A 27,396-nucleotide genomic window follows, 5' to 3' on the forward strand; every position below is an offset into this window, starting at 1 on the left:
CTCAGATGGCAGCTGACCTCTAGGTATGCATCATTCACATCTGAGACAGGAAAGAGAGGGAAGGACCAAGGGTGAGGGGCTAAATGAAACAGCCAGTGAGGTCCACTCCCTTTCAAAAGCTGACCTGAAGCCTCAACCCAGGACATCACTAGCACATCTGGGTCACATGGGCTTCTACGGTCTGGCCTGGGAATCTAGACCCTCATTAACTGCATGGTACCCATTGGGAAGTCTGTTCTAATCCCACACTCAGATCCAGTTGACATTTTTGACATGGACCAGACATCAGATTTGACACGTTTGATTATAGTTGATACAGGGAAATGCCTGTATCAACTATAATCAGATTTATCAAGTCCAGCCGTGAGGCTGGACTTTGGAACCTGGGTGGGGTCTGGAGAGGGAGAGAAGGAAGGAGAGAAATGTAGGTGGAGCAACAGTGTAACAAGGCTGGGGAAAGTTCTGAGACTGATGGCTACTTTCTGAGGTGGTCCCCTACAGTTTCAAAGCTTCCCGGAGCTCCACCTCTGCTGAGAAACCCCTCACCGAGCTTCCCTTTCTGTCTGGTTCTGTTGAACGCAAACGACATCTGCTTCCCACTCCCTGAAACTTCTCTTCAGGGTTCCCGTCATTGGCTCAAGCTATGGGAGAGGGCGTGTGAGACCCAGGCCTTCCGGAGGCTTCCAGAGTTAAAGCACTCCCACGGACAGGAGACAGAACTGCCTGTGGAGAATTGCATTATAGCCAAGCGCCGGGATATATATTTATCTGTGCCTGACATTCTCATCTCTTTTTAAAGGAAAAGCCACACATTTGGCCAAAAGATGAAGTGGAAAAAATGTACTGTTGAACAAATATCCAGGATGGTTGCTCAGAATGTATAAAATGATGAACTGTGTGGAAAAATCATGCCTGTGGCAAATTGTCAGCAGGCTATATTTGGGGGTCCGAATGCAGGGCCCCTGCCAACTGAGTTCACAGAGCCTTAGTGTTTTTCCACTTCTATTTATAGCGATGCACACATTCACACACAAAAAATGCAGGGGACATTGGACTTCGTTTTTAAATGATGAAAATGTTCGAAATGTATCTGGTTTCAGCACGTGAGAGCCGCTCTGCTGTCTACGATCAGCCTTGCTTACTGAAGAAGGGATTAATCAACGTGGGGAAAACAACGTAATAGGATCCTTTGGGAATCTGAAAGTCTGAAAACAACTTTTTTCTCTATTTCCTTTTTAAAATGTAATTCACTTCAACAAAACTTTATTGAGCACCAACGATGCAAAATGTTGAAATGGACATCTGATTGTTGTCTCTCAGCCTCCATTCCTCCTGCCCCTTTTCCAGCAGCCATTGCTTCTAGTTGGAGAACCACGTGTTTCCAGTGAGGGAGATTCTTCTTTCCAGCTTCAGATGTTGAACACAAGACCTGGCTTGGCCAATCAGGGCAAGCCATCCCCCTGGGCACAGTGATTGGCTCAGGCCCACCCCGAGCTGGACCAATCAGAGTGAAGAGTGAGACTTTGGCCAGGAATGCTGAAACAAAGACTGAGCCTTAGTGTTGGATTTGAAGGAAGAAGCCCCAGGAGCTGCTGAGAGCTGTTTTATAACCATGAGGTGAGTCAGCCTTCCAATAAGGCTAACTGCAGAAGGTGAATGGAGAGACAGAAATAAACTAGAACCACCAAAATATTTCTTACCTAATGCCATTCTTATTCTGGGGTTTTCAGCCATGTGAAACTATAAATTCCTCTCATTGTCTAAGTCAGCCGGAGTTAGGTATTTTTGCACTCCCAACCAAAAGCATCCTTGGTGATACAGGATGGATTAGGGTGTACTTCCTGGAGGAAGTGGCGCAGAACCTAAAACTTGAGGACGGGTTGGATTTGGATGGGAGAGGACAAGAATGTCCTGGCGACTGAACAGTTGCATGTGGCTGGGAGAGGAATGAATCCTATTCCAACGCAGCTGACCCTAGAAACACTGGGCTGGTGAGATCTTGGCATGTAGTGAAGGACACACTAAAGAATTCGGTCTTAATCTTGCAGGCAGTGTTTGTGTGGGTGTGATGGGAGGTTGTTCTCTTCTTTCTCAAATCCCTCCTCAGGTACCAGTTCATTCATCGCATTCACATTTGCTGTTCACAGCTCAAACTTTATAGCAAGACAAAGCCAGAATGTTCAGGTGAAGAAGCAGAGAATGGCTGTGTGAGTTTCCTAGGCTGTCGGAACAGAGAGCCACAAACTGGGTGTCTTCAATCCATACAAATGTAATTATCTCACAGTTCTGGAAGCTGGAAGTCTGAAATCAAGGTGTCAGCGGGGCTATGCTTCCTCTAAAGCCTCTAGGTAGGAAATTCCTTGCCTCTCCAGCTTTTGGTAGATAAGTTTTTGGCTTATCCCAGCTTACTCCAATCTCTGCCCTGTCTTCACATGGCCTTCTCATGTCTCTGTGTCCTGGCCTGTTCTTCCAAGGATGCCAATCATTGGGATTAGGGTCAGTCTAAATCCAGGATGATTTCATCGCACAACACTTGACTAATTACATCTACAAAGATCCTATTTCCAAATAAGGTCATATTCTGAAGGTTCTGGTGGCATAAATTTTGGGGGACACTATTCAGCCCACTACATTGACCAATAACAAAGCCAACTGACGCGCCATAATTTATGTCAGCTAAACTATGGAGCCCCTCCTGATGTCTGTGCTGGGACCCCCGGTGGCATTGCTGGACTCTCAGTCTTCCTGTGAACCTAACCAGCTGTGTCCTCTCTTTTAAAAATTTATTTTTGTTTGAGATGGGGTCTCACTATGTTGCCCAGACTGAGTACAGTGGCTGTTCACAGGAGTGATCACAGTACACGGCAGCCTCAAACTCCTGGGCTGAAGTGATCCTCCTGCCTCAGCCTCCCAGGTAGCTGGGACTACAAGAGCATGCCACTGTGCCTGGCTTTGTGCTCTCTCTTAATAATTAGAATAACTAACTTACTATGGAGGAAGTACTGTGACAAAAGCTTCTTGCAAACTTAGACACTCTCCTTGGCTTTTGACATGTCAAGGATTTTCAAGTAAGGAAAAAAGAGAGAAAGAAGAATGGGCGAGGAAGGGACGATAACCCCACTTTTCAGATACGACTGTAAAAAACTGAAGCAACTTGCTCAGAGAATGGGACAATGCTGAGATGTGAGGGCACTCTTTCTAACTCCAAATGTGTGCTTTTTAACCTCTTACTTCTTTCTTGGCTCAGAAGGAAAATAAATAAAATATAGCATGAAAGCCTAATGAATTATGTTGAGGCTGGGCTATCCAAGATGGCCAATTAAAGGAGAAAAAGAGAAGTTCACTGTGCAGTATGTTTAAGCCCTGAGCTCCACCTATGAATTTACAATTTTTGCTTACAAGAACCTTCACTTGCATCATGTTGGGAAAGAATAAGCCCGAAGGAGACTAATCTGATGCCTTCAGGACCTTTTGTTTTCAGGCTGAGCAGTAGCCTGACAGTGGTGGGGGCAAATGGAAAGGAAAGCCATTTGGTGGCAGGGATCATCCAGTTTATAAGTATAAAAAAGTTGTGACTCAGCTTTTGACAGGGACCCAGGAGAGGGACTTTGAATTGAGTCATTATGGATTATTCTCTGAATCCAGTAGGCCAATAGGCCAATGTGTTTTATGGCTCAAGAGGTTAAACTAGTCTGGGACATGATTTCTTAAGATTTTAGAAACAAACCAAAATATATCACTCTTCTCATGTGCAAAGTCATGGTGCATTTGTGCCTGGCATTCTGTGTGTGTTTCTGGGGGTTTAATCTCAAGAAAACTACTGTAATTCCTCATTTGTTTTACTGATAGGGAAAAAGATCTCCATATAAATGAAATTTCCAGGTATTTGAAGAGTAACCAACTGAGAACTAAAACATTTTAACTTTGAGCCTTTGGGAAGGGCTCTTTCCAAATGGTAGTATACATCTGTGCACTTTTCTAAGACTAGGAAATGACAGGATGATTTAGGGTCACCAGTAGGAACACCATTTATCATATGGACTAGACACAGTGATGATGTCAGTGGCAAGATACTAGAGTGGACAGAGTCTGAGCTTTGAAGTCGCCCTGACCAGCTTTGAATTCCAGCTGCCTCCTAGCAGCTATACAATCTTGTAGGAGTGACCTAACCTCTCAGCCTCAGTTTCCTTATATATAAAATGGGGGTAATAATTCTTACCTCCTGGGGTCATTGTGAGGATTAAATGAGATAATATGTATCTATTAGATACATAGTGTGTACATAAAACTTTCAGCAGCATACCTGACAAATAGAATGTGCTCACATCATTATTATCAACAATACAAAAAAGTCAGCTGTTGTCGTTATTGTCCCTACAATAATGCTACGCTAACTATCCCAAGATTGTTATTTTCATCGTAAGGACATGGAGTTCATTGGGTTTTATATCCATTTGTGTTTTTTTTAAATGTTTGCTTTTTAGGGGGCGGGGGTGGTCTGGTTACTTTCTTGCTGCAGCTCTCTTCCTGTGTGGGAGTACTTGCCAAAACATGACTTCCCCATCCTTTCTCATTCCATTCATTTATCCAACATGCATTGGTGACACAATGCAATGTGAGAAAACACATGCCAGAAGAGTCCCAAATACAATGTTTTGAGAACTGAGAGGAAAGGGGGATGAATAAATGAAGAATGGATGCATGAGCGTGTCACAAATGAAGAAATTGACAGGAAGGCCATAAGAGCAAGGGGCAAACACCAGAGCGCTTTCCATATGCCTGATAGAGTCTTCCCAAAAGCACACACCTCATTTTCCATTGTCATCAAATATCAGCATACACCATCATAGGGTTTGCCTTTGGCATGAATGATCTGGAAGAATCTCGGAGGTCCTCAAGCCCCTACCCTTCAAGATGCAGTAATGGAAACATTGGTGTCTCAAACCCAACAGGTCCAAAGTACGTATGTGTCACATTCACGGCCAAAGCAGCCCCTCTTCCCTCTATGCCTATTTCATATGCTGATGATACATCCAGGAAGACTGCAACAAATCTGAGAGGCATTGGGAATCGAAATTTCCACTGCCTCCCACCTCCAGTTATCCCAGTGCAGATAACTCCAAGCAGGGACGACCAGATGAGTGGATCCTCAGCACACAGGCTGAGGATGACCATCAGACAACTAGGAACAGCCAACACCTTGAACTGGAGGTACTCCAAGAGTTGTGTTTTTAATTTTTGATGTTAGTTGTAAGATGCATTCCTTTAGAGCTATTAATTATGTAAGTAATAGTAGACAAACATGGACCCTGAGGAAGGGAACCAAGGGAAGGGGGCCTGAATTTTCTGCTCTTTTGGGCGGGTGATGACTCCAAGTCATTACAATCTAGATGCATCCTTATTTTGCAGCCACAGCTTGCTGAGATCTGAGCACATAATCAGATACACTGACATGGATGTTACCGTGTGGACAAGGAATGAGCAACCTTGAAAAATGTATTTTTCTATATGCTGTTTTGGTTTTAAGATCTTGAGAAAGAAGTCCAGGAATTCACAAGCTTGAAAAGGAGATGCTGAGGCCACTGTGAAGACTTGAATACTTTTGCCTTGGAGGCAGTCCCAGGCCCACCACTCTCAGCAAAGGTCTCCTCCTGCCCTTTCCCAGATCTAACACAGGACAGCAGGCGGAGAGGAACCACCCCCTTTTCCTTCTCACTATTCTGGCTCTTGTTAGAGTGACAGTGGGATGGGAACTAGGACTCTTTGTCATTGCCAGGGGTTGCCTTGAAGGACTGGAGTCTGAGAGTAAGCAAACTTTATGACCCACAAAAAAAAAACCAGCTTCAGGAAAGCTTAATGGAGTTCCTGGTGTGAACTTAGAAGCAAGGTTTGATAATTAATTCTGACCTGGCTATTTGTGAATAAACAAAGATTAATACAGTGATTTCCATTTTGCTGAGTATTTTTCGGCCTCTGAACAGGACGGTCACATGGTTTTGCTCTTGTTTGCATGAAGCGAAATTCTGGGGTCCTCTCAATAAACCCACAAGAGTTTCTATCTCATAATGAGAGCTGGCTTCTTGTGTTTTTGAGGCAGAATTTTGACAGTGTTTCTTGTGCATTCTTCACCATCATTTGGAGCCACCACCTTGGCAACGTCTGTAGACAAGGAGATAAGGGACTCTCAAATCTATCCTTGAAGAGGAAGTGGCCCCAGAGTTCCGATAAAATCCTGCCGTATACGGGCTGTATAAAAGCAATTTGACCACTTGCGATTTTGAGTCTTAAGAATCTTTCAATTTCTCAGCCTCTGGCAGGAGTAAGAGAATAATATCCTGGATGTTTATAAAATTCGATAACCTTTTAAATCCATCCCACTTGAAGGAATAGCTAGATTTCTGGACCCCCATTTTCTGAGGCTTTCCAGGATGGACGCATGCTATCAGCTCCCCCTGCAGGTCTGACTCTTTCCTGACAGGGAATTCCTGGAGGTCCACTGAGAAAATGGATTCTGGAAGGGCTCTAAATTGTGTCGCACAGACGAAATGCTTCGACTGCTTGGAAATGACCCACCTTTCTGCTGGAAGCCACATGTCCTGGGAATGCACCAAAGTCTGAATCTGTCAGTACCTTACTATGCTGCAGGAAAACAAAGTCCCACCCAGAACTCCAGTGCCCAGGCAGGACCTTCCTTGCGCTAAACGCGCTTTAGAATGTTCAATTCTCTCTCTTCTTTGTAAGCACTGTGGCCCTGTGGTAAATCCATCACAGATAAAATGGCCTCTACATGAGCCATGTGCTAAAAAAGGATACGTACACCCATTGTGTGTTGAGTCTAAAAGTTGTTTCTCAAAAAGTTTTGGATTGTCCCAAATTTTATATGTGAGTTTGCTGATTCAGTCATTCAATAAATATTGTGATAGACATTCTGCTATGTGATTGATATGCGATAGACATTGTTTTAGGCACCCTGGATAAAGCAAGGGACCAAGGCAGGCTAAGACCCCATCCTCATGGAGCTTCAGGAACAGCAGTGACGACATACAGTAAACAAGTGCATGAACATGTGTGGTGTGATTTCATGTGGAGATGGTGCTATAAAGAAGAGTAAAACAGGATAGGCTGGGCATGGTGGCTCACGCCTGTAATCCCAGCACTTTGGGAAGATGAGGCAGACAGATCACTTGAGGTCAGGAGTTTGAGACCAGCCTGGCCAACATGGTGAAACCCCATCTCTACGAAAAAATACAAAAAAATTAACCAGGCATGGTGGCACATCCCTGTAGTACCAGTTACTTGGGAGGCTGAGACAGGAGAATCACTTGAATCTGGGAGGTGGAGGTTGCAGTGAGCTGAGGTCGCACCACTGCACTCCAGCCTAAGCAACAGAGTGAGACTCTGTCTAAAAAAAAAAAAAAAAAAAAAAAAAAAGCTGGGTGCAGTGGCTCATGCCTGTAATTCCAGCACTTTGGGAAGCCAAGGTGGGCAGATCACAAGGTCAAGAGATTGAGACCATCCTGGCCAATATGGTGAAACCCCATCTCTACTAAAAACACAAAAATTAGCTGGGTGTGGTGGTGGGCACATGTAATCCCAGCTACTGGGGAGGCTGAGGCAGGAGAATCGCTTGAACCCGGAAGGCAGATGTTGAGCTGAGATTGTGCCACTGCACTTCAGCCTGGTGACAGAGCAACACTCCATCTCAAAAAAAAAAAAAAAAAAAGAGTAAAGCAGGATAAAGAATTGGAGTGATTGGGGTGTACTCTTTTTGAAAGACTGGTCAAGGTAGGTTCAGTTAGAAACCTACATAAAGGAAGACAACAACCAACCCATGTGAAGATGTGGGTGGAGAGCATTTCAGGAGAGGAGGCGGCAAGTGCAAATGACCTGAGATGGAAATGAGCTTGGTGCGCTCCAGGAAAAGCAAAAAGGCCAAGAGAGACAGGACTGCAGAGTGCTAGGGAGTCAGTAGGAGGAGATGGAGCCCAAGAAGTAGGCAGGGTACACTGTGTAAAGAATATGGTAAGGAGTTTGGATTTTATTGTGAGATGGGCAACCGTTGGAGCCCTTTCAGTAGAAGAGTGAAGTGATCTAATTTACGGTTTCAAAACTTCCCTTCTGGCTACTATGTGCAGAAAAGACTCAAGAAAGACAGGTGTGGAGCCAGGGAATCTCAGTGGGGGGCTATTTTATAATAGAAGCCCTCTGAGAGGTGCTGGTGTCTTGGTAGTGGTGAGACGTAGGCAATTTCTGGCTGTATTTTGAGGACAGAGCCACAGGACGTGTTGGTTAATTGGATGTAGGAAGTGAGATAAAAGAAATAAATCCGGCTGGGAGCCATGGCTCATGCCTGTAATCCCAGCACTTTGGGAGGCCGAGGTGGGCGAATCATGAGGTCAGGAGATCGAGACCATCCTGGCCAACATGGTGAAACCCTGTCTCTACTAAAAATATAAAAATTAGCTGGATGTGGTGGCGCACGCCTGTAATCCCAGCTACTTGGGAGGCTGAGGCAGGAGAATCGTTTGAACCGGGGAGGCAGAGATTGTAGTGAGCCGAGACTGCGCCACTGCACTCCAGCCTGGGTGACAGAGTGAGACTCTGTCTCAAAAAAAAAAAAAAAAAAGAAAGAAAGAAAAGAAAAAGAAAAAAGAAATAAATCAAATATGACTCCTGGGTTTTTGGCCTGGGCAACTGGGCAATTAACTGAGATTGGGAGGACCGGGGGAAGAACACATTTGGGTGGGTGGCATCAAGAGTTCTGCTTGGACAAGTTAAGTTTAAGAAACTTATTAGTCATCCATCTGGAGATGTCAAGCAGGCAGTCTGGAACACATGCTCGATGCAGGAATAACGAGGAGAAAACTATTTATGGAAAGAGGAGCTCCGTTCTGTAATACATTGTGACACCTGGTTGTGAGCCTTCTCCTCTCCTAGGTCTTGGTTTTCTGTTTTGTAAAATGATGGGCTTGGCTGGTCTCTGAGGGTCTTTTCGGTCATGCAAGTAGAAAAGAGAAGATTCGCATTGAAATTCACTGAGCAACAGGAGAGGGCTAGGCCTGCTGCTGGCCGGACATAAAACCGTGAGACGGAAGACCCCAAGAAGACTGGCAGCTTATCTTAGGAATCTGAATTGGAAATGAGTCTTTGCAAAGCAATCACAGGCTTGTTCGAAAGTGGGAGTTCTGGGGCAGGCAGCAGTTTAGCAGCAGCAGATGAATTTGCTCAAAGCAAAGCGGTATAAAACTTGGTATAAACAGGATTTGCAGGGAAGACAGTGAAGTGATGCTACTTCACTTCCTGGATCCTCTATCACTGTAACAGGTAAATATGGGCACCTGTGTCTGCCAGGAACATTGACGTTTAATAGAGAATTTTTTGTTTTGCTTTTTGCTTTACCTGTTTTTCTTTTTTTTTTTTTTTTTTGAGACTGAGTCTCGCCCTGTCGCCCAGGCTAGAGTGCGGTGGCACGATCTCGGCTCACTGCACCCTCTGCCTCCCAGATTCAAGCAATTCTCCCGCCTCAGCCTTCTGAGCAGCTGGGATTACAGGTGGGCGCCACCACGCCCGGCTAATTTTTGTATTTTTAGTAGAGACGGGGTTTCACCATGTTGGTCAGGGTGGTCTCAAACTCCTAACTTCGTGATCCACCCGCCTCGGCCTCCCAAAGTGCTGGGACTACAGGTGTGAGCCACCGCGCCCAGCCCTTACTTTACCTTTTTTGACACTGGCCTACATTGCCTGGATATACACGTAGCTTATTTTGTTTTTTTTCTTTCATTTTTCTGTTCATATTTAGTCTTCTCACTGTACAAAGTGCTTTCATATTTCTGAACACCACATTGGGTCAGCATAACAGCCCTGTGGCTAGGAACATAATTAGATAATCCTGTTTTGGAGATAAATAAACTGAAGTTCAGAGAGGTTGAGTAACTCGCTCAAGACCACCCAGACACCATAAGGATGAACCTATTTTGAACCCGGGTTTTATGGATCCCTATGATTTCCTCTTTCTCATTATTCCATTTGGTCTTCCAAATGGAGAGGCTTACTAAAGATTACTTGACCAATTCCTGGATACTCTACGGCACAGTTGATTATTTTGTGCTTTTCTTTTCAGATGGGAATATAAAAATGACACTGGTTTAGGTTTTCATGTTGCTTTATAAAGCCTCCCTGGTATTAAGTAGTGAGGCATGTGGTACACTTCTGAACTAGTGTTTTTTTGTTTTTGTCTTTTAAAGTCTTTCAAATACAACTCTTAGACACTATAACAAGTTTAGGAGTATTTGGGTTTTCTCTTCCACAGTGATGTTCAGCAGAGGGGAAGGAAGATCTTAGCAATACTGTCAGTGGAGGGAAGGCTAAAGTGGAAGCTTATGCTTTTCAGCTTCTATGATTTGGATGATGAGATGGCCAGGTGATTCTAATCCAGAAGTGCTTTCTAATTTGTTGTAATTACTATTGCTGTGTAACCAATTATCCCTAAACTAAGCAGCTTATAACAACCATTTGACTACCCTCACAGATTCTGTGGTCAGAAATTGGACATGGCAGTGGGATGGCTTGGGAGCCTCAGCTGGGAAGACTTAATGGCTAAGAGTGACTCAAGAGCTGGGGGTTGGAATCCCAGGAGACATCACCACTTACTGTCTGGTGGTTGATCTGGCTGTTGGGCGGAACCTCACTCAGCCAGGGCTGTTGATTAGGGAACCCACATGTGGCCTTTCCAGAAGGCCTGGGCTTCCTCACAGTGTGGAGGTTCAAGGTAGTGGTACTTTTCATACGGAGACTCATGGCTCCAAAAGCATGAGCCCCAAGGAACAGGGAAGAAACTGCATTGCCTTTTTTTTTTTTTTTTTTTCTTTTTGAGATGGAGTCTCACACTCTCGCCCAGGCTGGAGTGCAATGGCGCGATCTCGGCTCACTGCAAGCTCCACCTCCCGGGTTCACGCCATTCTCCTGCCTCAGCCTCCCGAGTACCTGGGACTACAGGCACCCACCACCACGCCCAGCTAATTTTTTGCATTTTTAGTAGAGATGAAGTTTCACCATGTTAGCCAGGATGGTCTCGATCTCCTGACCCTGTGATCCACCCACCTCAGCCTCCCAAAGTGCTGGGATTACAGGCGTGAGGCACCGCGCCCGGCCATTGCCTTTTTTAAGGTAGCCTCAGAGAGCATCACTTCTGCACATTCTATCAGTTGCAAGCAAGTCCCAAGCCTGCCTAGATTCAAGGATCCAGGACATAGACCCTGCCTCTTGATGGAAGGGTGGCAAGGTCACATTGTAGGAGAAGATGTGGGATGGGAGATATTGCCACAGTCATCTATGGAAAATACCATCTGCCATTCTAGTGAGGATGTGTCACCTCTGGGCTTTACTAACATTAGTGAAGGGACGTGCTCATCTGCCAAATGCCGTTAAAGTATTGCTGGGGCTGTAGCTCATGGCCAGTTACAGCTGCTTGGGTTTGAATCAGATCTCTCAACCAACCAACCAACCAACCAACCAATGCAGGAACCAGCCTATCTACAGCAATACCCTCTAAGAGTCAAATACTGGGCCAAGAGCCAAGTATGAATTAAAAAGGCCCCTACCCTCAAGGATCACCTGAATCTTAAATGTTAGTGTACATAGAGCTAGCTGGAGTAAAAGTTTAAACTACAGATGCCTGTCTGCCTTCCTTCATTCTAATTCAGTTGTCAGTTCCAGCTGGAGCACAGGAATCTGCGTTGTAACAAGCCCGTAGGTGGTTCTAGCATAAGAGATCCGAGGGGGGCACTTTGAGACTCACTGATCAGCAGAACTAGTGCTTTGAGACTGGGCATGGTGGCTCACACCTGTAATCTTAACACTTTGGGAGGCTGAAGCAGGTGGGTCACTTCAGGTCAGGAGTTCAAGACCAGCCTGGTCAACGTGGTGAAGCCCCGTCTCTACTAAAAATATAAAAATTAGCCAGGCATGGTGGCACACACCTGTAATTCCAGCTACTCAGGAGGCTGAGGTGGAAGGATCGCTTGAACCTGGGAGGTGGAGTTTGCAATAAGCCAAGATCATGCCATTGCACTCCGGCCTGGGCAACAGAGTGAGACTCTGTCTCAAAAAACAAAACAAAACAAAACAAAACAAAACAAAACAAAACAAAACAAAACAAAACAAAAAAAACTAGTGCTTTGGTCCAGAGAGTGAGCTTGGGTGCTTTTCATAAGTCATTAGCTTTCAGTTTGCCTGGCTTCTCTCCTTGAATCTTACTAGCTGTGGTAGGTTAGATTGTTGTGCCCGTTTTTGATTTATAGCCCGGCAGCCTCAAAACCATCCTTTTTGCCTGCTAGTGAAAATGAATCTGGGCCTTTTACATATTTTTTTTCTTCGCTAGCTGGCACAATTTTAAGCTTTGTCAGTAGAGGGCGCTAGAGAGATGCTGCAGACGAAAAACGGTTTGCTTCCTGGTTCCCACAGGCTTGACCCGCAGCCTGCTTTAAGGAGTGGCTTCTCCAGTGAACAGCTCCTAGAGCACACATAGCTTCTCAAGCACACAGCTCCTGCACAAACTGTGGTGCATCTATGCAGTGGAAAATTATTCAGCAACAAAAAAATGAGCTATCGAGCCACAAAAAGACATGGAAGAATCTTAAATGCATATTGCTAAGTTAAAGAAGCCAGTCTGAAAAGGTTACAATTGCATATCATTCTGGAAAAGGCAAAACTAGAGAGACAGTAAAAAGACCAGTGGTTGCCAGGAGTTAGGGGTAGGGAAGGGGAGATCAATAGGTGAAGCACAGGGGATTTTTAGGGTGGTGAAACTATTAGGTGTGATACTGTAGTGGTAGATACAAGACGTCATGCACTCAGCAAAACCTGTAGAGATGTACAACAGAAAGAGTGAATCCGAATGGAAACTATAGACTTAATAATAATGCATTAATGTCAGGTCATCAATTGCAACAGGTGTACTACATCAATTCAAGATGTCATTAATAGTAGGGGAAACTGTGCACAGAAAGAGGGGGTTATAATGGGAATTTTGTACTTTGCATCATTTTTCTGTAAACCTAAAACTACTCTAAAAATATAATCTATTTTTAAAAGTCATTGAAGGCAAAAATAAAAGGTTCAGCAAACACTGATTTTAGAATTTTAGGTCCCCCTCCTACAATTCTGCCTAGAGTATTTGATTATTTCTTTTCATATTTACAGTGGCACAAAGGGAAAATAATGGACACTTTATGTTTTACCTAAGACATTTTGCAGTTCTACATAGATACTCACATTTCATTTTCATTTTTATTTATTTATTTTTTTGAGACAGAGTCTTGCTCTGTTACCTAGGCTGGAGTGCAGTGGCGCAATCTTGGCTCACTGCAACCTCTGCCTCCTGGGTTCAAGCGATTTTTGTGCCTCAGCCTCCCGAGTAGCTGGGATTACAGGTGTGCACCTCCATGCCTGGCTAATATTTTGTATTTTTAGTAGAGACAGGGTTTCTCCATGTTGGCCAGGCTGGTCTCAAACTCCTGACCTCAAGTGATCTGCCTGCCTCAGCCTCCCAAAGTGCTGGGATTACAGACGTGAGCCATCATGCCTGGCCTTTTTTTTTTTTTAATCATATTCAACTCATCCATTCAAAATGCTGATGTATCAGCCAGGCACGGTGGCTCACACCTGTAATCCCAGCACTTTGGGAGGCCGAGGCTGGCGATCACCTGAGGTTAGGAGTTCAAGGCCAGCCTAGCCAACACAGTGAAACCCCATCTCTACTAAAAAACAAACAAAAAATATAAAAAAATTAGCCAGGTGTGGTGGTTCACGCCTGTAGTTCCAGCTACTCGGGAGGCTGAGGCAGGAGAATCACTTGAATTTGGGAGGCAGAAGTTACAGTGAGCTGAGATCGGGCCACTGCACTCCAGCCTGGGTGACAGAGTGAGACTCTGCCTCAAAAAACAGAAAAGAAAAAAAAAAGCGATCAATGTTTTCACTTTGTAAGCCATGGTTTTATGTACAGGGTGTACTAAAAAATCCTCATAGGAAAAGGAGAGTCCGTGGAAAAACTAAATTCTCCCTTTCAGATTTGTCCACTGTGTGGTAGTGGCAACAGCAATTTCTGAAAGAAAGGTCTTGGATAGCACTGCCAAGTTGCAGCTTCATAAACTATCAAGTGAGCTGTTTTCTGTGAGGACAACTCGCACACTTGCTATCACCATACACAGTGAGCTACTAAAGATACCGCAGCTCTCAGGGCTGACTTCAAGCGGATATGAGAATGCGACACAGCTGATTGCCTGCTCCAAGTCCCAAATTGGAAACATGAGCTTGCCCACATACGACATTCCAACTAACTCGACAAATGAATCCTCAAATGCTCCTCACGATCATTTGTTTTAAAAAGCTCAAGTGATTTTTCATTGTCTCAGACTGCTGCTGTGGAAGGCTGCCTATTGGAAAAAAAAAAACAAAAAACAAGGACAGAATCAAATGGAATATTTCCTAAGGCAGGGAGGAAAGAACAAAGTATTAAAAAGGACAAGAAGTCCCACTGCTGTAACAGAGATAGAGATTCCTGATCAAGAAGCCACATTTTTAGGAAAGTGGGATGTGCCGTTTTATTTTTAAAATGAGATGCAATCAATGACACACGCTGTACAGCATGTATTCTGTGTACTAGCCTCTCCCCTGGTTTCACATTATTTTCCTACCCTTATTTACCCTTTGCCCCAGTTTTCTTACTCTTTGAGAAAATACTGTATCTTTTCATAAGATGTTGGAAATCCTATTTGATACATTGTGAAGTGAAAATAAGTAGAAAATGCTATATTTTGAGCATTAATGATAACTTTCTAAATTTGCTGCAACGGATTATTTTTGGTGACTCTACTTAAAATACCTCAAATCAAATTCCTTACTTGAGTATAAGCATAAATATTCCAGATTTCTGAAATCAAGATTTAAAGAGTTATTCCAGCATACATGTATATACATACACATCCATGTAACTTTCATGAGACATGTATTACAAGCTGTTCGAACTACCGTTCCAGAGGTTCACTGACCAACGAAAATAACCTTAGTAGTGAAGTACAAAACCAAATCCAGAAAGCAGTCCAGGGGTTTAGTCAGATTGCTTCTTCTCACCGAGCAGCGTCATACAGTATGTATTCCTACCCATGCACACTGGTCAAGGGAAGAAAGAAGTGGTCAGTAGTAGGAGGAATGGGCTTAGGTAGTGATATGGTTTGGATTTGTGTCCCTGCCCAAATCTCGTGTCGAACTGTAATCCCCAGCGTTGGAAGTGGGGCCTGGTGGGAGGTGATGGGATCGTGGGGGCAGATTTTCCCCTTGCTGTTCTCATGATAGTGACTGAGTGCTTACGAGATCTGGTTGTTTACAAGTATGTACTGCCTCCTTCGCTCTCTTCCTCTTGCTCCAGCCATGTAAAATGTGCCTCCTTCGTCTTCTCATTCTGCCATGATTGTAAGTTTCCTGAGGTCTCCCCAGCCACGCTTCCTGAACAGCCTGCGGAACGGTGAGCCAACTAAACCTCTTTTCTTTATAAATTACCCAGCCTCAGGTCATTCCTTATAGCAATGCAACAAGGACAAACTAATCCAGGTGGTATGGTCATCATGAGTTAATGTTTGCCTGTTTGCCCCAACTGCTGAAGAGCTGTCTGACAATTAAGACCATCTCTAGTAACTACAGCACGAGCTGAAAGAATTTCACACCTCAAATTCCATAGCCTGACAAGGGGTCACCTTCATTTTTAAAGGGAATATGGCTTGTGAACCGTACTGTCTGGGGTCCGAATCCTGGCTCTAGTATTTCCCAGTTGTGGAGTTTTGGGCAAGCATGCCCTCATCCTCCTGAGCCTCAGCAACGACACTTATCTGACAAGGTAACACAAACATTAACTGTTTCTCCTAGTCCAGGGGCCGGCACCTGGTATGGGCTCAATAAATGGCAGTCATTATTATGAGTAGATAATTATAACAATAATAAAGTGTTAGAAAATTCATGAAAGTACAAGAGGCTTGAAATTTCTATAAACCACTCCCCAAACATGATATAATGTTTACCTACAACCCAGTTTTTCCTTTTGCACCAAATAAAATCCAGCTGTGCAGCTGAGAGGCAATGAAATTGAGAATGATTCTAAATTGTTGTAAATATATTTTCAAAGGATTGTAAATATATTTTCAAAGTTAAATGTAAAATGAGAGCCTGTTTGTAGACAACTGAGTTGGCTTGTGATGACATTTTTTACTAAAGCTGTCAGAGGATCTGAAAGAATTTTGCAAAGTACTGGACATGATGTTCAGCTTCTTTAGAAAGCTGATGAGCACTAAGCAATATGTTGCCTTGTTGTAAATAGCAAATCAGTGTCATGGTCTTTACTCTCCTTCACCAGATTATGTGATCGAATAAGTAACCACATGTTAGGTGGAAACAAATTGTAAAAGGCTTTTAACTAAGCAACGTTTCAATATTTGTTTGTTTTTTTGAGACGGTCTCTCTCTGTCACCCAGGCTGGAGTGCAGTGGTGCGATTATAGCTCACGGCAGCCTTGATCTTCTGGGCTCAAGTGATCCTCCCACCTCAGCCACCCGAAGTGCTGGTATTACAGGCGTGAGCCCCCATGCCCAGCTTCAATATTTCTTTTAAGTGTGGTTTGTTTTTTTCACTGCCAACACATTTTTATCTTAATGTTACCACCCAAGTCAACCAGAAGTCATTTAAGAAATAGCTGGTGTAGAAAATAATTTTGCAAAATGAGAAATCAGTTCAAAGGCTGGATTCCAAACTGGCATGAGCCTGTCCCCAGTGTTGGTGTCTCGTCTCCATGTGGTCTTTTGCCAACTCATCTGCTTTTGCCCCCGACCTGCCCTTGGGCAGAATCCAGTGCAGATCCTCATGCATTTAGGAAGGGTGTCTGAAGGCTTACTCAGCAGCCACCAGTCATCATGTCTTTTCTATTTTCTATTACCACATTCAGTTACAAACAGGTACACAAATATGAAGAGAAATGGAGGGCAAGGGACGTAAGATGGTGCATGTTTCTCCTGCCCTGGTAAAACGTCTTCTCTGGCAATATTATCTCCGTTGGTAGAATGGTTGCCTGTGACAGGAAGAGGTCGTGGGGGTAGGCAGAGCAGGGTAAGGTTTTAAACAAATTCTTTTTTGCAATATTTACTGATTATTTTATTTTTTCTCCATTGAAGAGACTCTTTTTTCTTTTTTTGCTCTATTCAGCCATTTTATGCTTTAACTCTGCAGACAATAACAAAAAATACACTAAACTACATTTAGACAGATGGGAAGAAATGGAGAAAAGAACAATTACTCAAAACACTAAGCTGAAGCTGAGTGTTGTGGCATGCACTCACAGTCCCAGCTACTCAGGCAGGAGGATCGCTTGAGCCCAGGAGTTCAAGGCCGCAGTGAGCCATGATTGCACCACAGCACTCCAGCCTGGGCAACAGAGCAAAACCCTGTCTCAAAAACAAAACAAAACAAAAAACCCCACTAAGTTGATGAAAATGGTCAACTTTTTTTGCCTATGGACATCTACATGCGCCCGCATCATTTGTTGAAAAGATTGACCTTTCCCCATTAAATTGTTTTATCAGTTACACATTAAGTTTCTATGAGAGTAAGAAGAACAATAGGTTTGGAAGAAGGTTTGAAGATACAAGTCAAAGTCTGAAAGAGACTTGTTCTAATGTGGAATAACTCATAAGTTTTTCTGATTAAACTGTTAATTTTCATAGAATTATAGACTCACATGCAGTTGTAAGAAATAATACAGAGAACTCCTGTGGATTCTTTACACAGTTTCCCCAGTGGTAAACTTGGAAAGTTATAGTAGAATATCACAGCCAGGATATTGACACTGATACAAAGTACAGGACAGTTTCACCATCATAAAGATCTTTTGTGTTGCTCTTCTAGATAGCCACACCTACCCCACCCCACCACTGTCCCTGGCCTCCGACAACCACTAATCTGTTTTCCATTCTTTAATTTTGCTACTTCAATAATGTTATATAAATAGGACAATACAGGATACAACCTTTTGCAACTGGCTTTTTTTTTTCCCACTCCATCCCGTTCCCTGGAGATCCATCCAAGTTATGTGTATCAATAGTTTGTTCCTTCTTACACACACTGGGGCCTGTAGGGGTTGGGGAGGGAGAGCATCAGGAAGAATAGCTAATGGATGCTGGGCTTAATACCTAGGTGATGGGATGATCCGTGCAGCAAACCACAATGGCACACGTTTACCTACGTAACAAACCTGCACATATTGCACCTGTATCCCGGAACTTAAAAGTTGAAGAAAAAAAATAGTTTGTTACTTCTTACTGCTGAGTGGTATTCCATGATATGGATGTGCCACAGTGTGTTGAACTGTTCCTCCTTCTCAGGACATCTGGTTGTTTCCAGGTTTTGGCTGTTACAGATACAGCTGTTATGAGCTTTCATGCACAGGCTTTTGTGTGGGCATAAGTTTTCATTTCTCTGGAACAAATGACCCCCAAAAGTGTAATTGTTGGGTCTTACAGTACTTGCCTCTAGTTTTATAAGAAACAAAACTGTTTTCCAGAGTGACTGTATCATTTTATATACCCACCAGCAATGAATGAGTAATCCAGTTTCCCTGCATCCTCACTAGCATTTGGTGTTGTCACTTTTTAAATTTTAGCTGCTTTTTTTTTTTTTTTGAGACGGAGTCTCACTCTGTTGTCCAGGCTGTAGTGCGGTGGTGCGATCTCGGCTCACTGCAACCTCCGCCTCCTTAGTTGAAGAATGTGTTGAATCAGGGAAAAGTTATTATAAAGTAAAAAATCTAGGAGTATCTGAAAGTCGTAATGGGGCTATGTGCCCCAAAGGGAAGCAGTGGCTTTGCTTCACCAAAATTGGACAATGGGGAGTAAACACTCAAGTGCTAGAGGACATAAAGAGAGAAAAGATGATAGCCAAGGCAAAAGCCAAAGCCAACAACTCCCCTCCACAACCACCCGTAGTATTTCCATCCCTTTATTAAAAACTACAAGCAGACGTATCCCTTCCCAAGCCAGGAAAAAACCTGTTTGTAGATCTAGGAGAACTTACCGCGCTTACCATGAATGTGTCCAATTGCCGGGTATGTGGGGGAGCCCGCATATGAGTGAACAGTGGCCATGGTTTGGGATAGACGTTCCTCCTTACTTACTAGCATCCCAAAACCCCAGCCTCACTTTCACTCTTCAGGAACGCCCGCAGTCCTGGACACTTACCAACCCAGTAAGAGGGACGGTGTGCATATCCCGCAAGTGGACTGATAAAACCCATCGTGCCATAGGTGCAAGCCCTTGTCACCAAACCTTAACAGTCAACGCCTCCACAGCCGAGTGGTGGCCAAGGTTACCCCACGGAGCCTGGTCTCCCTCTAACTTAAGCTGCCTCAACTGTGTTCCATCAAAAAGGGCCTGGAACTGTACAAACACCACCAACCCTTATGCCACATACCCCCACCTAAGTGCACGATGGGTCAATCCTATGAATACCAGCCTACAATGGACTGCCCCTGATGGATTCTTTTGGATATGTGGAACCCAGGCTTACTCATGGCTACCTTATCACTGGCGAGGTCCTTGCTTCCTAAGCACAATTAAACCCGTATTCTTTTTACTTCCAAAGCAGGCAGGCGACACCCTCGGAGTCCCTGTGTATGATAACTTAAACAGAGAAAAACGATCCTTAAAGGTAGGAGGAAGCCAAAGATGGCGAGAGGACGAGTGGCCTCCGCAACGGATCATCAAATATTATGGTCCTGCCACCTGGGCTGAGGATGGTTCATGGGGTTATCGCACTCCCATATATATGCTAAATAGAATAATTAGACTACAGGCTGTTCTAGAGATAATCACTAACCAAACCGCCTCAGCCCTGGAAATGCTCGCGCAACAACAAAACCAAATGCACGCGGCAATTTATCAAAACAGGCTGGCACTAGACACTTATTAGCAGAAGAGGGTGGGGTCTGTGGTAAGTTTAATATCTCCAATTGTTGTCTTAACATAGACAATAACGGAAAAGCAGTTCTAGAAATCGCTTCGAACATCAGAAAAGTAGCCCATGTACCGGTCCAAACCTGGAAAGGGTGGGACCCGGCAAACCTTCTAGAAGGTGGTTCTGTAATTTAGGAGGATGTAAAACGCTGGTAGGGACAGTAATCTTCATCACTGGGCTCCTCCTGTTTCTCCCCTGGGTTATCCACTAATAATAAAAGCCATTAAAACTCTTACAGTTAATCGCCAGACAATCCAGATGATGCTCCTGCTACAATGACGCAATGATACCAACCCGTCTCTCAAGAACGCCCCCAAAAATTAAAGTTTTCTTTTTCCAAGGTGCCCATGCCACCCCCTGTGTCACGCCTGAAGTAGTTATTGAGTAAGTTGCCCCTTTTCCTTTTTTTTTTTTTATAACCAAATAGGCAGGAATGAAAGATTCTCCCCAGTGCCTGAAAGCTTGAAGGGATGAATAACTCCTCCCTTCTCAGGCCCAGTCCCAAGGCACAAGACCACTTGTGCCAGCAGCCAGCAGCGTGCATCAGCAAGACAGCAGAAGCAGGAAGACAGCCTGCTGGAAGACACTTACCCTGGCCGGAAGACATGTACCCCTGAAGATGGAGAAAGAGGCCTTCCGGGTACTACGTAGCAGTCACGTCAGACCGGGACACTTCCTGTTTAGAGAGGACTATAAAACTCCGGTCCGGTAATCACTTGGGGCTGACGCCATTTTAGGCCTCATCCCGCCTGCACCCAGGCACTCATTAAAACAGCGTGTTGCCCCACACTGCCTCGTGTTGTCTGTTGGTGCGCTCTCGGGGTTCAAACCGATACAAGAACCTTTCAAATGGTAGTAAGATTAAAGGTTTTTACTAAGTTATTAATAACAAAAAAGGCACAGATCTTAAATGTGCAGTTATGAATTTTGGCAATTGTATACATTCATGTAATCACTACCCACAACAAAAATAGAATGTTTCCACCACCACAAAAAGTTTGCAACACCCCTGTACCTCTTTCTAGTGCATTTCCAATCATGTCCTCATACCTACCTACCCCACAACCATTTTTTAATCTCTTCCAGAGCTAACGCTTAATACATTGAATTTTACATAATCTTAGGATAGACTGTCCCACATAAAGGAGACTATCTGCAATAATTTATGTTGGAAGAATAAGATATTGATGTCAATTAATACATTTTGTGTCCTGGTTTAAAAATGCTCCTACTATTAATTAAAATTTTAAAGACATTTTCTTGTGAAAGTATAAAGGGATACTTTTTTCTATTTTGAACATTATGAGTTCAAAAGTTCATTCTGATAGAAAATTTTATTTTGTGTGTTTCAACTATGTATGGATGGAAATAAAACTAGGAAGAAATATAGATAATTCTTTATACTTCTTTGCATTTTCCAAATTTTATGCTACAACCATGTATTGCTTTTATTGGTACAATAAAGCAATATCATCAGTGTAAAATGTACTTATTTTTTCATAATTATGTTAAGTCTCTTTATATTTATTTTGATCAAAGTGTCTTAGAGATGTGTTTTCAATTAAGAAGTCCCAGGGTCTCCAAGCTCACTGGCACTGTCCTGTTTTTCCTCACACAAATACTAACTGCTATGGACAATGACACAGTTCTGGGAAAAACCCATGAGAGATCATTAGAGATAAGAGAGAATATTCACCATGTTTGTTTCACTCCCAGGAACAAGCAAAGTTTTGTTTCTCAAGGTTTTATTTTTATTTTTTTGAGACAGAGTCTTGCTCTGTCATCTAGGCTGGAGCAATTCTTCTGCCTCAGCCTCCCAAGTAGCTGTGATTACAGGCGCCAGCCACCACACCCAGCTAATTTTTTTGTATTTTTAGTAGAGACGGGGGTTTCGCCATGTTGGCCAGACTGGTCTTGAACTCCTGACCTCAAGTGATCTGCCCGCCTCGGCCTCCCAAACTGCTGGGATTACAGGTGTGAGCCACCATGCCCGGCCTCAAGGTTTTAATTTACACTCTTTCCATCTCATGATACGTAGTACCATAGAATTGTCTTTTTCTTTTTTTGAAGAAAAATGGTAGCAATTAAAAAAATAATGACAGCTTAGTATCATGACAACTATGATATGACAGACTTATCTGGCCATGTGCTGTTGAGATCTGAACACTCAAAATACCTCCAAACTGTTATCAATCAATCAATCACACTTCAGACAGCAAGCTAATTGTTGAATTCATATCTGCTTTACACGAATTCCCTATTTGTCATTACTATAAAATTAATTGCTAAAGTGCTTTATTGCTAACTGTGCTTACATAAATAAGCATAACTATTTTAATCGCTTAATGTCTGATTAGAATCACTATCATTAATCTTTGACACCAAAACATTTCTGATTAAATATTTTAAATAATGAAACGTAATTGGTAGAGCTCAGTTACAATGTAGTAACCTTTTTGGAGGGGGCATTATAATAAAAGTTTACAGCAGCACTGTTCACGAGAACTTTCTGTATGACAGAAATGTTCTCTGTGCTGTCCAGTGTGGCAGCCACTAGCCATATGTGGCTACTAGACACTTGAGATGTGGCTAGTGTGACTCAGGAATTGAATTTTACATTTCATTTCATTTTAAATTAATTATAATTTTGATTTAAATAGCCACATGTGGCTAGTGGCCACCATATTAGATGGTGCAGTTTTATAGAATAAGGCTTAAAACCAAAATAAAAGTCTGCTCCTACTATACACAAGTTTTTTTGCCTTGTATGAATTGGAAATTTAGTGTCTAAGAATCACTGATGTTCATAAATTTGTGATAAACAACAGACTTGTTGAGACCAAAGTACTAAAAGGATACTTAAATTCGTTTTCATCTTCAGTGTGATTTATGGGAATATTAGGCCAAAGAAGAATGTTTTCCTTTTCTGATACAAAAGGAAGAGATCAATTCAGCAGAATTCATATTGTTTTAATTCCCATATAGTTAGGAAGTTATTATTAGCCTCAAATGGCCTGAACATAATGACTAAGATGAATATTTGTGTGTTTTGGTGTCAGACTTATTTCCTTGTAATTACAGTCATGGGCCACGTCATTACATTTTGGTCAATGGCAGACCACATACACAATGGTGGTCCCATAAGATTGCAATACCATGTTTTTACTCTACCTTTTCTACGTTGAGATACGTTCAGATGCACAAATACTTACTGTTGTTACAGCTGTCTCCAGTATTCACTACAGTAGCCTGCGGTACAGCTTTGTAGCCTCGGAGCAATATGCTGTACCACACAGCCTAGTGTGTATGGGCTGTACCATCTAGGTGTGGATCAGTGCACCCCATGATGTTCACACGACAGAACTGGCCAACAATGCATTTCTCAGAACACGTCTCTGACATTAAGCAACACATGACTGTACTTAAAAAACTTGAAGTACGACTTCTCCTTAACGTTATTGAGAAAGGGACATTTTCCTTTTGAAAATTACACCAGGTCAAGAGCTGCACCATCCATTCTTTTTCTTTTCTTTTTTTTTTTTTGAGACAGAGTCTTGCTCTGCCGCCCAGGCTGGAGTGCAGTGGTGCCATCTTGGCTCACTGCAACCTCCGCCTTCTGGGTTCAAGCGATTCTCCTGTTTCAGCCTCCTGCGTAGCTGGGATTATAGGCACACGCCACCACGCCCAGCTAATTTTTATATTTTTAGTAGAGACGAGGTTTCTCCATGTTAGCCTCGACCTCCTGACTTTAGGTGATTCGCCCACCTTGACCTCTCGAAGTGCTGGGATTACAGGTGTGCGCCACTGCGCCCAGCCAGCAACATCCATTCTTAATGGAAGACTTACTTTCTTACTTTCATTTTTTTTTTTTTTTTTTTAGACACAGTCTTGCTCTGTCGCCCAGGCTGGAGTACAGTGGTGCCATCTCGGCTCACTGCAACCTCCGCCTCCTGGGTTCAAGCGATTCTCCTGCCTCAGCCTCCTGAGTAGCTGGGATTACAGGCACCCACCATCATGCCCAGCTAATTTTTGTATTTTTCGTAGAGACCAGGTTTTGCCATGTTGGCCAGGCTGGTCTTGAACTCCCAACTTCAGGTGATCTGCCTGCCCCGGCCTCCCAAAGTGCTGGAATTACAGGCATGAACCACCATGCCCGGCCTACTTTTATCATATTTTTCACACACTTTGACCTCTCCTTCCTACATTTTCTGTTGTATTCTCTGTTGCAGGGATGGAAACAGCTTCTGGGGAAGGCTCGCTTTGTGTTATTATCAAGATGACAATGTTCTAAGCCTCCAAGCGCAGTTTTGCAGTTGGAAAGGGCCTCAGTCCTGCCACCCCCACCCTGGTTGCTTTGCATTCAGGCCATTAGGCCTGGACAGCCCCATGGATGCCATTGCTTGGCCTCTGCCACCTTTCAACAGGGACTTGCAGTGAGATGAAGAACAGCCTCAAATCCTCACCTGTCATTCCACATACGGGTTCCTCATTTAGACACACAGACTGAAGAGCATCTGCGTTCACCTTCTCGGCTGCAGGTCTAGGTCTCCTTTGACTGGTAGGTCTAGGTCTCCTTTGACTGGTAGGTCTAGGTCTCCTTTGACTGGTAGGTCTAGGTCTCCTTTGACTGGTTGGCTCTCCTTCCCCAGCAGGGGCACATTTCTCAGCAGAGATTTATTTTTCTTTTTTTTTTTTTTTTGAGATGGAGTCTCGCTCTGTCACCCAGGCTGGAGTGCAGTGGCATGATCACTGCAAGCTCCGCCTCCCGGGTTCTCGCCATTCTCCTGCCTCAGCCTCCTGAGTAGGTGGGACTACAGGCACCCGCCACCATGCCCGGCTAATTTTTTGTATTTTTTAGTAGAGATGGGGTTTCACCGTGTTAGCCAGGATGGTCTCGATCTCCTGACCTCATGATCCACCAGCCTTGGCCTCCCAAAGTGCTGGGATTATAGGTGTGAGCCATTGCGCCCGGCCTCAGCAGAGATTTCTAAGGCAATCAACTGAAGACTTCACACCCGAGTAACCTACAAGTCCTTCCGGTTGGCTGCCTCCCAGATCTTGTGGAGCAAGATGCCTGAGCCTTCCCTGCTCCTGGGAATGGCTGGCTAGGAGGGCCTGTGCACCCACATTTTAAGTGTGGTTGAGAAAAGCCTTGGGCATCTTCAGAAGCCTTGACATAGTTTCGCTGCTTTCCTCTCCCTGGCAGGACTACAAGTATAGCCACAGAAAGCTCAGTGCACAAAGTAAAGACACACCCTTGAGACAGTACAGCCACAGCAAACTGTACTAATTAACCACAAAACCAGCTCTAACATATCCACCTCTTGGGCATAATGTTACTTATACAATGGGCTTAACAAAACTGATATGCAGACAAAGACGGCTTAGGTAGGCCCTTTTGACACTTATTCCTGAAGACAACAGCACTACGGCTGCTTTAGGAAAGTGACAGCAAACGTGTGAAAATTTCTCACCTTCTTAAAACCTGTGAATCACCATCTACTTCTCTGGGAGTGGGAAACTCATTTGGTTTTGGCTGGGGCTTTCAATGGGATAACAATCTGTTCATGGAAGGTCCGAATGCTGCAGAGAGCTTGATAGGTCACCTGTGCTAGCATGCAGATCAGCCAAGGATGCTTTAAAAGAAGAAGTGTGCCCTCCATCATGTAAAAAGACCCTATGGTGGATTAATGTAAGATTCTAAGTAAAAATATTCGTTCAGTTACAGCCATAACTAAAACAGAATTCAGACTAGCTTTAATTCTACTAATTAGAATTTTAATCAAATACTTATTGATACAGTTTGAATGCACAATCCTGCCAAATCTCATGTTGAATTGTAATCTCCAGTGTTGGAGGTGGGGCCTGGTAAGAGGTATTTGGATCCTGGGGGCGGATCCCTCATAAATGGCTTGGGTCATCCCCTTGGTAATGAGTGAGCTCTCTCTCTGAGTTCACATGAGATCTGGTCATTTAAAAGGGTGTGGCACCCCCCGCCCCACTCTCTCCCCTACTCCTGCTTTTGCCATGTGATGTGCGTGCTCCTGCTTCACCTTCCACAATGATTGAAAGCTCCCTGAGGCTTCATCAGAAGCCAGGCAGATGCCAGCACCATGCTTCCTGTAAAGCCTACAGAACTGAGCCAATTAGACCTCGTTTCTTTATAAATTATCCAGTCTCCATATTTTTTTAATAGCAATGCAAGAACGGCCTAAAACACTTACATCGTACTTACTGTATGCCAGGCTCTGTACATTAAAAATACCTTAAAAATAAGTACTTAAAAATACTAACTCAGCCAGGCACGGTGGCTCACGCCTGTAATCCCAGCACTTTGGGAGGCCGAGGCAAGCGGATCACTTGAGGTCAGGAGTTCATGACCAGCCTGGCCAACCCCATTTCTACTAAAAAGTACAAAAATTAGCTGGTGTGGTGGTGCATGCCTGTAATCCCAGCTATTTGGGAGGCTGAGGCAGGAGAATCACTTGAACCTGGGAGGTGGAGGTTGCAGTGAGCCAAGATCGTGCCATTGCACTCCAGCCTGGGCAACAGAGCGAGACTCCGTCTCAAAACAAAAACAAAAAAATTAACTCATTCAATCTTCATATAACAACCCTATGTATTTGAGTACTCTTTTGGGCACATGGTAAATAAATCTCCTTTTTATCTCACCAATCCAGTCCAGTTCCTAATGGATGCTAGAGCCAAACCATGAACACAAATCCCATTTGTGCTCCGAAGCAATCCTACACCACGTTTTGAAAATTAATCAAAATATTTGAAAGCAAAACGTCCTAGTCAATATAATCTGTACTTTTTCTAAAATAGCTGAACCAGTAAATAAAAATAATCTTGTTTCCTTGCTACTAGTAACTTCTCTCCTCAAGCTACCTTCAGTCCTAGAAGGGACAAAGTTGACATTTACTGAACACTTATTTTAAGCCAGAACATGCCTCCCTGTACCCCCTCCCCACTTAACATTTTAGCGGTAAGCCTGAGGCTCACAGAGGTTCAGCAAAGGAATTACGGTCTTAATGCTGGTAAGTGGAAGACAGAGAATCAAGCCCTATCAGTCTGAGGCCTTCTTCACTGTGGGACCTTGGTTGTTTCTCTTTGCATATCTAACACTTAGGAAATGTGCAACACATATTTGTTAAAGAAATGAAGGAATGAACAGATTCCCGTCTTGGTGACTGTAATTTAACACTTTCAATAGATTACTCTGCAGCCATCTTTCTTTTTTTATATATTTATATTTATTTAATAAATTCTCTATTTTTGGACATTTAGGGCAGCTAGAGGTATTATTGTAGATATTGCTGAGATGAATGTCCCTCTGACAATTGTCTG

The 27,396-nt window shown here is 43.6% G+C and overlaps 1 long non-coding RNA gene across 4 annotated transcripts, besides 1 other annotated feature; it reads left to right on the forward strand.

Annotated features, from left to right (window-relative positions):
- The first annotated feature begins 1,550 nt into the window (after positions 1 to 1,550).
- LOC105373429 (uncharacterized) lies at positions 1,551 to 16,291 on the forward strand. Of its 4 annotated transcripts, XR_001739285.2 has the most exons (4): positions 1,551 to 1,617; positions 2,148 to 2,348; positions 15,425 to 15,520; positions 15,764 to 16,291. It is a non-coding gene; the product is annotated as an uncharacterized LOC105373429 (long non-coding RNA). The 4 variants fall into 4 exon arrangements; XR_007086219.1 differs by lacking the exon at positions 15,764 to 16,291 and having other exon boundaries at positions 15,425 to 15,681; XR_002959370.2 differs by lacking the exons at positions 15,425 to 15,520; positions 15,764 to 16,291 and adding an exon at positions 5,410 to 6,926.
- Positions 19,887 to 21,086: an enhancer, noted in NCBI's record as "BRD4-independent group 4 enhancer chr2:11565759-11566958 (GRCh37/hg19 assembly coordinates)". NCBI's record gives its function as "activates an origin of replication core promoter dependent on BRD2, P300/CBP, MED14 and CDK7 cofactors, and independent of BRD4, by STARR-seq in HCT116 cells {active_cell/tissue: HCT116}" and the evidence as "EXISTENCE:reporter gene assay evidence [ECO:0000049][PMID:35650434]".

Source organism: Homo sapiens, chromosome 2, assembly GCF_000001405.40.
Source record: "Homo sapiens chromosome 2, GRCh38.p14 Primary Assembly".
Classification (NCBI taxonomy): Eukaryota; Metazoa; Chordata; class Mammalia; order Primates; family Hominidae; genus Homo; species Homo sapiens.